General features: G+C 51.7%; 1 protein-coding gene across 1 annotated transcript in view, besides 2 other annotated features; it reads left to right on the top strand.

Moving 5' to 3' along the window:
* The window catches only part of GRK5 (G protein-coupled receptor kinase 5), a 252,175-nt gene that overhangs the window by 221,412 nt on the left and 19,705 nt on the right, over positions 1–11,058 (top strand). The window contains exons 7-10 of the mRNA NM_005308.3: positions 1,393–1,456; positions 2,405–2,545; positions 7,669–7,859; positions 10,749–10,786. Coding sequence (NP_005299.1) covers positions 1,393–1,456; positions 2,405–2,545; positions 7,669–7,859; positions 10,749–10,786 — 434 coding nt within the window. The remainder of the gene's footprint in view (positions 1–1,392; positions 1,457–2,404; positions 2,546–7,668; positions 7,860–10,748; positions 10,787–11,058) is intronic.
* Positions 381–550: an enhancer, noted in NCBI's record as "experimental_10067 CRE fragment used in MPRA reporter constructs". NCBI's record gives its function as "activates a minimal promoter by MPRAs in K562 erythroleukemia cells, with activity observed for the non-introgressed 10:121188960 or rs883133 variant allele {active_cell/tissue: K562}" and the evidence as "EXISTENCE:reporter gene assay evidence [ECO:0000049][PMID:34662402]".
* Position 466: a transcriptional cis regulatory region, noted in NCBI's record as "Neanderthal adaptively introgressed variant 10:121188960 (GRCh37/hg19 assembly coordinates) or rs883133 in the experimental_10067 CRE". NCBI's record gives its function as "modulates activity of the experimental_10067 enhancer by MPRAs in K562 erythroleukemia cells {active_cell/tissue: K562}" and the evidence as "EXISTENCE:reporter gene assay evidence [ECO:0000049][PMID:34662402]".

The following is an 11,058-nucleotide window of genomic DNA, read 5'->3' on the forward strand; positions in this document are numbered from 1 at the left end:
GGGCCGCCTTCATGTGGTTTCCGGGGGCGGCTGTAGGGAAGGCTTCCCAGGGCCACGTGGTCGAGGCAGGCGTGTGGCAGCTCTTCCCTTTGGCTGTCCAGCCGCTCCTGTGCAGAAGAGCGGGATACCCGCAGAGGGGCAGCTCTGCTTCGGTGGGGTTTGGGCCCTGTGTCCTGAGGAAGCACTGGTGAAGGGAGAAGTGAGCCATGGCACGCAAATTCAAGATGGGGTGCCAGAGAGTACCCTGGCTTTTCAGGGCCTTCCTCAGAGTGCGGCTGTGGTGCCACAGATGTGATTTCCAGGGAAGACTCATTCGTTCAAGAGCTGCTGGGTGACTGAAGGCTCCCTGGTCATCCTCAGCTGACCCAGTTCTTTGGCCCAGTTCTGCTCGATCCAACCCCTGCCCTGGTCGGGACTTTTGAGGAATTTAGGAGCAGGAGTTTAGTCTTGGAGAGCCAAGAGCCAATTTTCACGTTTTAAGCTGATTATTTGTAGCCAAACAGACCAGCAATGCAAACCACAAGCCCTCTGCACCGTGATGTCCTTTATGGCAACTAGATAGGACCATGTCTTTGCTTAGTCCAAAAAGTGCCATCATGCCTCATGATCAGAAGTTCTGTCTGATTCAATGTCATAAATGGCTTTGGCTCATTAAAACGAGGAGTTGGAAGACGCGAGGTGATCATTACTTCCAATCCGATCTTGGCAGGCAGGATCTTCTCATGTTCCTCATCTATGTGGGAAATACAATAAAGGGTCCTCAGTGGTGGAAAGGTTGGGAACCAATGGTAAAGATCCCCAGGACACGATTTGAAGACCAGCAGCCTCTGCCCCCTCCTGAGGCCGGGTCTTCTGGGCCAGCAGCAGGAGTGCCCTCAGGAAGGAATAAGCCATGCCCAGGACAGGAAGCACTGTCATCCTGCTGGGCAGACTGAGATGCACAGGTGTAGGGAGGGCTGTGACCTCCTTCGCGTCCTTTGTGGGACGCTGGTCCTCTGTGGCTCCTGGCCCCCACCCCTTCCTGCACAGAAGGCACAGCTTCCTTCTGAGTTTCGCCGCATGATTTGCAGAGAGAGGAGAACCACATGGAGAGTGTGGTCAAGCACCTCTGCACTCAGGTTTTTCAAGCTTTCTGAGCAAGCGAGGCTTGTGCATCCCCCAGCTTGCAGGGGGCTGGGGGCTGGGGGCCAGGGGGCTTGGGATTTGAACACTCAGCTTCAGACTAAGTCCTCGAAGGTCCAGTCTCCAGCGATGATTCCTGGGGGGTCCCTGGGGCTGCTGTGGGGCTCCTGGAATTATACCCCACCCCAGCTGCTCTCAATGTGCCACTGTTTCCTGTGGATTCTGAGTCTTGGCACCATGAGACCAGTGTGGGATTCTTCTTTCTTCCAGGCAACCGGTGACCAAAAACACTTTCAGGCAGTATCGAGTGCTAGGAAAAGGGGGCTTCGGGGAGGTGAGTGAACATTCACGTTTTTAATTGAAAGTTCTTACATTCAAGTCACCTTTCCTGTCCCTTCTAAATCAACCTAAAGGGTTGGCCCACGGGTCCCCCGGGGGCACCAGTGGCTCAATGTGGGCCCCGGGGGCAGTGAGGGTGGGAGAGAGTCAGTGGCCTTGGGGCTATCAGGTGTGTCTATGGTGGAAAGAGGTTGTGGAGCTGGGCAGGTGAGACAGACGTGCTCTCCTGCCAGCCTCAGGCAGGATCCAGCCTGCAGAGGACAAATGGGCAGCCCTGGTCGTGTGTGGGGAGGAGATGTGAGGGCGTGAGGAGGCTGGGCAACCTTGGCCACTCAGTGCCTGGATGACGCTGTCATGCAAGATTCGAGATTTCGTTGTACATTACCCGATCTTCCCAGCATGTGAGGCAAGCCTTGTTATTCCCATTTTAGAGATGAGGAAAGCTGAGGTCCAGAATGGTTAGGTGACCCAGCCAAGGGCGCGCAGACAATGTGAGGCAGAGCTAAGACTTAAGCCCAAATGCTTTGGTTCCCGCTTATCTGGATTATGAAGTCAGTGTTCTTGAGGATCTCCTATCACTGCCTCCCAAAACAAACTTCTCTACCGGCAGCCGGTAGGAGAAAATCCTGTTGCCCTGGGAATGGAACGGTACTTGGGGCCCCAGTCAGTTATCTAAGCCTTGGTGTGAGTGGCTCATTCTGCCCCTTCCAGGGCTGGGAATCCTTGAAGGAGAGGAGGAGGGAGGGCAAGGGCCCAGGACAGCTGTGGGCCCCAGGCCAGGCATCACTGGGTCCTGGGAGCCTGGAGCACTCATGAAGCCAGGCAGGGCCGGCTCTGACCCCATCCATTCTCTACCTGGGAGGCCTGTGGTCCCCGCCCTGGAGGAGCTCGGGGCAGGCCTCCACGGTGCTCCTGCCACCCTGGTTTCTTTCTTGCACTGCAGGTCTGTGCCTGCCAGGTTCGGGCCACGGGTAAAATGTATGCCTGCAAGCGCTTGGAGAAGAAGAGGATCAAAAAGAGGAAAGGGGAGTCCATGGCCCTCAATGAGAAGCAGATCCTCGAGAAGGTCAACAGTCAGTTTGTGGTGAGTGAGCATCTGGGCCCAGTGACCGGCTCGCCCTTCTGTGGACTGGGGCTTCCCTCCCTCCGGAAGGGCGTGGTCCTCTAATGCGGCCGGTCCCCACCCCTGGGAAGGGGAATGCCAGTGGCAGCGCTGAGCTACAGAAAGGCCGCAAGACATTCCTCCATCACACGGCCCATTGTGGTCGACTGTGGCTGGCTTTGTCCCATCCCCAGAGCCGGCCAGTGCCTGGCTCCCTGCTGTGCATGAGACCGACGCCTCTGTTCTCCTGGACCACTTTGTAAACTCCTCAGTGGACAAAGAAAGTTCACCTGGGCCCAGGCTGGGAGCTGTGGGTTCCACAGACCCTCTAGGCTGGTGCCATCGTGGTGGGGACCTTAGTGCCAGCATCCTGGAATGGCACTATCAAGTCTGTGTGCATTGTGTTAGTCAGTCTAGGCTGGGCCCTGCTGCAGTAACACATTTGCCCCAAACCCTAAGTAGCTAAATACAGCAGAGGTTCATCTGTCACTCACCTGAAGTCCAATCAGATTGGGCCACCCTCCTCCATCTAACAGCTGCCCCATCTGGAGCCTTGAAAGTGAGTGCTAGGGGTTCCACACAGAGACTTTCCACTGCCTCTACTGGACAGATGTTCCTCAGTTTCACCCACAGTCTGCCAGCCAGAACCAGTCAACACAGAGACAAGTTAGTTTCAGGGGAGGCTGGGAAATGTGAAGTGCATGGATATTTGGTCAGCTCTAATATCTTCTGCTACACACTGTTATAAAAAATAAAGCTGGGTGCAGTGGTACATGCTTGTAGTCCCAGCTACTCAGAAGGCTGAGGCAGGAGGATTGCTTGAACCCAGGATTTCGAGGCTGCAGTGAACTATGATCGTGCCACTGCACCCCAGCCTGGGTGACACAGCAAGACCTCATCTCTAAAACTAAATACATGCATACATTAAAAATAATATATACACAAGGTAAAAATTTAAACAGCACAGAAGGATACACAATAAAACGAAAAGCTTCCCTCTTTGAGTAATCACTCCAGGCATGTTTTATTCATGCACAGGCTTTATTATTCTTAGCCAATGGGATCTTCCTGTACCTCTTATGGAGGAATGTTTTTCCCTTACATTGTAGATCTTTTTCTCCATCCAGACCTCTAGTCACACCCCTTTTTAAAGTTGGGCATCATTCTCCTGAAGAGATAAAGCATAATCCATATAGTCAGTCCCCATGGATGGAAATTGTTTTCCATCTTTAAACCACTACAGGGCCGGGCACGGTGGCTCACGCCTGTAATCTCAGCACTTTGGGAGGTCGAGGCAGACAGATCACTTGAGATCAGGAGTTCAAGATCAACCTGGCCAACATGGCAAAACCCCATTTCTACTAAAAATACAAAAATTACCTGGGCATGGTGGTGGGCGCCTGTAATTCCAGCTACTTGGGAGGCTGAGGCATGAGAATCACTTGAACCTGGGAGGCAGAGATTGCAGTGAGCTGAGATCATGCCACTGCACTCCAGCCTGGGTGACAGAGTGAGACTTTGTTAAAAACAAAACAAAACAAACAAACAAAACCACTACAGACCAGTGGCACTCCCAGAGGATGGAAGTTTGCATCTTGGGATCTCATCCCAGGCCACCCCCAGCTGCCAGCCTTGTCGGGGGTGCAGGTGTGGGCAGTGCCATGGTATGTGGAGATGAGGCAGATGAGGCTAACTTCAGCCATCATTTCAGCTGCGGGCCTTCTTGAGTCCGAAACCTTCCTCCCCACTGCCAGCCGCTTCAGCAGGGACCCCTGGATGCTGCCTATGGAGCCTTGTCTCTGAAGGGACAGTGCTGGCGGGTTCTGCTCAGGGAAGAGGATCATGTGATTCACAAAGCTGGGTGGCACGTCTTTAAGGGCCTTCAGTTACGATGGCTGCACCTTCTTTAACTGTGCCCCATCCACGGCCCCGGCAGGGAGTTCCCACGATGTCACCTCCTGGATCCCTTTCTCGGTGATCACCTGGGCAGATGTGGGAGAAAGGGGACAGCTGCAGCCATTGCAGCAGAAGCACAGTCCCCATGAGCTTGCTCATCCTTGGCTGCCATTTTATCTCCTTTCCTCAAAAATAGCTGATGTTGATGCACCAGTTTTACGGCACAGCCAGTTCCCAGCCTGGCCCACGATGGCCGGGTTTCATGTGTGCCACCTCCCTATGTGGAGAAGGATTACCTTCTGGTGTAATTTGCCCCTCCTGCCCCACCATGGCCTTGCTTCACAGAGCCTTGGGTGTCTGGACTCCACCAGCAGAGGACTAGACCCCCTCTCTTGGTGGCCCTTTGCCAAGTGGACCAGTGTATTAGTCCATTTTCACACTGCTGATTAAGATATAACTGAGACTGAGCAATTTACAAAAGAAAGAGGTTTGATGGACTTATGGTTCCATGTGGCTGGGGAGGCCTCACAATCATGGTGGAATGTGAAAGGCACTTCTTACATGGCGGTGGCAAGAGAAGAATGAGAACCAAGTGAAAGGGGTTTCCCCTTATAAAACCATCAGATCTCATGAGACTTATTCACTACTATGAGAACAGTATAGGAGAAACTGCCCACAATTCAATTATCTCCCACCGGGTCCCTCCCACAACACATAGGAATTATGGGAGTACAATTCAAGATGAGATTTGGGTGGGGACACAGCCCAACCATATCATTCTGCCCCTGGCCCCTCCCAAATCTCATGACCTCACATTTCAAAACCAATCATGCCTTCCCAACAGTCCCCCAAAATCTTAACTCATTTCAGCATTAACTCAAAAGTCCATACATAGTCCAAAGTCCCATCTGAGACAAAGCAAGTCCTTTCCGCCTACGAGCCCGTAAAATCAAAAGCAAGTTAGTTACTTCCTAGATACAATGTGGGTACAGGCATTGGGTAAATACAGCTGTTCCAAATGGGTGAAATTGGCCAAAACAAAGGGGCTACAGGCCCCATGCAAGTCAGAAATCCAGCAGGGCAGTCAAATCTTAAAGCTCTAAAATGATCTCTTTGACCTCATGTCTCACATCCAGATCATGCCGATGCCAAGACGTGGGTTCCCACGGTCTTGGGCAGCTCCATCCCTGTGGCTTTGCAGGGTACCGTCTCCCTCCTGGCTGCTTTCATGGGCTGGCATTGAGTGTCTGCAGGTTTTCCAGGCAAACAGTGCAAGCTGTCAGTGGATCTACCATTCTGGGGTCTGGAGGACAGTGGCCCTCTTCTGACAGCTCCAATAGGCAATGCCCCAGTAGGGACTCTGTGTGGGGTCTCTGACCCCACATTTCCCTTCTGCACTGCCCTAGCAGAGGGTCTCCATGAGGGCCCCGCCCCTGCAGCAAACTTCTACCTGAGCATTCAGGTGTTTTCACACATCTTCTGAAATCTAGGCGGAGGTTCCCAAACCTCAATTCTTGACTTCTGTGCACTCGCAGGCTCAACACCACATGGAAGCTGCCAAGGCTTGGGGCTTCCACCATGGCTCGAGCACTGCATTGGCCCCTTTCAGCCACGGATGGAGCAGCTGGGACTCAGGGCACTGGGCACCAAGTCCCTTGGCTGCACACAGCACGGGGACCCTGGACTCAGCCCGTGAAACCACTTTTTCCTCCTAGGCCCCTGGGCCTGTGATGGGAGGGGCTGCTGTGAAGACCTCTGACATGCCCTGTAGACATTTTCCCCATGGTCTTGGGGATTAACATTCAGCTCCTTGTTACTTATGCAAATTTAGGCAGCCAGCCTGAATTTCTCCTCAGAAAATGGGATTTTCTTTTCTATTGCATTGTCAGGCTGCAAACTTTCCAAACCTTTATGCTCTCCTTCCCTTACAAAACTGAATGCCTTTAACAGCACCTATGTCACCCCTTGAGTGCTTTGTTGCTTAGAAATTTCTTCTGTGAGATACCCTAAATCATCTCTCTCAAGTTCAAAGTTTCAAAAATCTCTAGGGCAGGGGCAAAATGCCAGCAGTTTCTTTGCTAAAAGATAACAAGAGTCACCTTTGCTCCAGTTCCCAACAAGTTCCTCGTTTCCATCTGAGACCACCTCAGCCTGGACTTTATTATCCATATCACTTTCAGCATTTTGGGCAAAGCCATTCAACAAGTCTCTAGGAAGTTCCAAACTTTCTCACATTTTCCTATCTTCTGAGCCCTTCAAACTCTTCCAACCTCTACCTGTTACCGGTTCCAAAGTCATGTCTACCTTTTTGGGTATTTTTTTCAGCAGTGCCTCACTCTTCTGGTACCAATTTACTCTATTAGTCCGTTTTCACACTGCTGATAAAGACATACCTGAGACTGGGCAATTTACAAAAGAAAGAGGTTTAATGGACTTACAGTTCCACGTGGCTGGGGAGGCCCCACAATCATGGCAGAAGGTGAAAGGCACTTCTTACATGGCGGTAGCAAGAGAAGAATGAGAACCAAGTGAAATGGGCTTCCCCTTATAAAACCATCAGGTCTGTGAGACATATTCACTACCACAAGAGCAGTATGGGAGAAACTGCCCCCATGAGTCAATTGTCTCCCACTGGTCCCTCCCACAACACATGGGAATTATGGGAGTACAATTCAAGATGAGATTTGGGTGGGGACACAGAGCCAAACCATATCAACTAGGCACATCCTGCATGCAAGAGAAAGCCTTTACCAGGCCATGTTCCACTTCCCAAAGCCCCACTGCCCCTCCAGCTCACCCTTACTTGGCCCTGTGAGAATGGCTCCCATACCCAAAAGGGCAAGTGAGCCCTGCTTTTCTGACTGGCCAAGAAGGCACCCTCCAGTCTTCCCCAGCTGATGCACACATGTGCTTCTGTGGAGGAAGCACAGACGCCATTCTGTTGGATTCACTGGGAGGTCGGGGTGCTAGCCTGCCCTAACCCGCCTTGGCCTTCTCACCTTGATCCACTGAAAGGGAGGAGCAGGTGTGAGCCCCTTATCAGCCAAGGAGGCCGCAGGCAGGGTCACCGCAGAGGCCATCTGGGTGCAGGGGAGCAGGGTGAGGCTCCTCTGTTCCCTCACACCCCAGCTCCCAGGATCCTGAGGAGGGAAGTGGAAGTGAGTGGCCATTGTCACAACCTCCCCATGGCACTGTTCTTGTGCTCCCAGGTCAACCTGGCCTATGCCTACGAGACCAAGGATGCACTGTGCTTGGTCCTGACCATCATGAATGGGGGTGACCTGAAGTTCCACATCTACAACATGGGCAACCCTGGCTTCGAGGAGGAGCGGGCCTTGTTTTATGCGGCAGAGATCCTCTGCGGCTTAGAAGACCTCCACCGTGAGAACACCGTCTACCGGTGAGTGGAAGGCACCAAGGACTTCCAAGTCTAAGTCCGAGGGGGTGGGGCCAGCCCCTCCACACCCTCGGGCAGGTGGTTGCCATCGCTCTGGGAATCAGCCCTGGTCAGCACCAGGGGAGGATGCAGAGTCAGACAGACTTTCCACTCCAGGAAGCTGGGGCCTCCGGCACTGAGGAAGCGAGGTGGGCCACCCTCTGGCCAGTGTTCTCCAGCCTCCAAAGTTTAGGGAAGCCAAGCAAGTGAAATGATGTTCCTGAAACTGACTGCTCCTTCAAGTCAAGGAGGACGGGCCGTGACCACTGCTCCCTCCAGTTGCCTCCATCCCAGCAGCCAGGGAAGCTGGGAGGGGGCCTGGTGGCCGCTATCTGGGATCAGTCCTGGGAAGACTTGGGTCGGGTCACTGCCCACAAGCAGAATCGGAGTGGCCCATGGTCCCACTCCATGCTGTCCTCAGCTTGCTCTGGTCTTCACCCCCTCTCCCCACCCACCTCAATCCCACAGGGACCTGGACATTGTAGGGCCAGGGGTCCAGATTCCACTCACAATGAGCAGTGCCCTTCAGATTTTTCTCCCAGTCCTTCTGAAAGAATTTTGAAAAATCTCTGTGATGCTGCATTTTAAGTAGACATTTGAAATATTCCATCATATTGAAATAGTGGCAATTTTTGATATATTGAAATTGAACAGTTACATTACACTCCTCAGGGGATCCAGTGGAATCTCTAGTTGCTGTAGCCAATTGATTTCCACCTGCATTTATCCAAAAAATGCACAGAAAGCTCTTTAGTGATGAGGAATTTTCTATCATTTCCTTCACTCTCTCCATCCCCCCAGAATGTTAATAATATATTTTTTTGCCTGAAAGTCTTTCACTGATTAGCGTACATCTCTGAAACAAATATATAGATACATACAAGAGTTTTTGAAGTTCTCCTTGACCGTAAGTCTCTAAGTGTTAAAATAACTTCTCTGGCCGGTTGTGGTGGTTCACACCTGTAATCCCAGCACTTTGGGAGGCTGGGGCAGGCGGATCACCTGAGGTCAGTGGTTTGAGATCAGCCTGGCCAACGTGGTGAAACCCTGTCTCTACTAAAAATACAAAAAGTAGCCGGATGCGGTGGCACGCGCCTGTAGTCCCAGATACTTGGGAGGCTGAGGCTAAAGAATCGCTTTAACCTGGAGGTTGCAGTGAGTCAAGATCACCACTGCACTCCAGCCTGGGCAACAGAGTGAGACTCCGTCTCAAAATAAAATAAAATAACTTCTTCTGTCGAGTTGCCATTGTAATTAGTAGTAGATCTCATTTCTAATCAGTCCTTTGGAAGCAGGGGTTTTGACATCTGGAGTGGGTCGCTACAGTCATACTCGGGAGGGGAGGAGGCTGCTTTTCTTCTGTAACTTGGGAGAAGAGTTATTGAGAAAGGGCAGATGGGAGGGAGATCCCAAAAGATGCCAGGACAGAGCATCCTGATGTGAAGAAATCCAAACCCTTCAAACTGCGGACAGGAGGGAACCCCCTGCTCGGTCCTGGCAGACCCCGACACGCAGCCCAGTTTGAAGACCTTTGCAGTGGAGCTCATCTTGGGACCAAGAAGGTTTTGAAAACAAGAAAGAATGGTCTTGATGACATGCCCTTCCCCCCATACCATCCCCCCATTTATGTTTCTGTTTTGTTTTCATTCAAATGAAAAGAGTCAAAATTTTCCCTAAGGGTTGAACAAAGAATTCTCTACGTGATTGCCTTTTATTTAAAAAGAAAAAAGAAAGCCCTCCAAGTTCCAGCTCGTCTTCTTCCGGGGGAAAGAGAACCACAGTGCCTCCTCCCTGGCTGTGACCACTCACCACGGCCTCTCTTTGGGCTCCGTTCTGGCCAGTGCCCACTAGTGAGCTGCCATGCTAGCCTGGTGGCAGCCGGCTTGTTGAGATGATGGCTGCTGCCCTTATTTGGAATTGTTAACACATCAAAAGAATGCCATTTAAATAACAGCAACAAAAGTATTTTATGATAAATAAGGATACACAAACACCAATTATCATTTGATGAGGCTCACTGGCTGGATTTGGGTACATTAACCACTCCGCATGAGGACAGCTGCCATCAGTTAAATAAACAAAGCTGGGTGGTTGAGAACTGGAGCCTCCATCCAGATCCTGTGTACTGTTTGCCCCATGGCTTAACTGAGTTGCACACACTCTCCTCTTGGCTGTTCTTTTACCCATAGAGAAGACCTTTTCCTATAAAAGCAGCTCCTCTGCTGGCTCTCCCCTCATCCTGGGAATGCAGAGGCTCCCTTACTTGTGAGCAAGATCCTGTCATCAAGAGAGGAGACATTAGGGACAGGATAAGGCAGCCACACCTATGCCATGCCCCGTAGCTGTTCTTTCTCCCAGGCTGTAGCGTAGCTGGTGTTGGGGGATATGCCAGTCTCCTGCAGGCCCCATCCCAAAGGGGGTCTTTTTCCTGTGTCCCCACCTTCTCCCCTTTGATCCTCTCTTCCCAATTGCACAGCTCCCTTCATTCCAGGCCCTGTTCTGCCTTCAGGGCTTCCTGAGACCTGCAGGGTCTTCTCAGCCTTGGAGTATCCTCAGACCTGCAGTCATTGATGTGTGAACAGGGGCCATGACTGGCCTTTTCCTAACTTTCCCAGTCACCCTCCAGGATTGGGAAATGCCTGTGGCAAACGGCAGTGTTGCTTTAAATTACTGGAAGGAGAAAAATTAGCTGAAGATCATTTTGACTCAAACCAGACAGCCTGAGCCAGGAGGTGGGAAGGAAACACACTGTGGCCACTCAGGCCTGATTAGCCCGAGGGGTCGACCCAGATGCCAGTGTATCCTACCTGCCCAGAATGCCCACACTCTGATGCTTGTTGTTTTTCCTTTCAGAGATCTGAAACCTGAAAACATCCTGTTAGATGATTATGGTAAGTCTTTTCCTACTCGGTAGCTGAGGTGAGCATTGCAACCCCAAGAAAGCAAAGGGCCTCCCAGGGATTCTCAGAGAGGGCTGGGGAAGCTGACCACGGGCCCCACTCCCACTGCTCAGTGCTGGGTACCTGGGGAAGGGGGAAAGCTGTGAGTGTGAACAGAGCTCCGCTTGGTGAACAGGCAGTGTTCAGAGAGACTTTGAAATTCAGAGTTTTTGAAATTCCCTTTGACCATAAGGCTCTAAGTGTTAAAATAACTTCTGGCCGGG

This window comes from Homo sapiens, chromosome 10, assembly GCF_000001405.40.
Source record: "Homo sapiens chromosome 10, GRCh38.p14 Primary Assembly".
Taxonomy (NCBI): domain Eukaryota; kingdom Metazoa; phylum Chordata; class Mammalia; order Primates; family Hominidae; genus Homo; species Homo sapiens.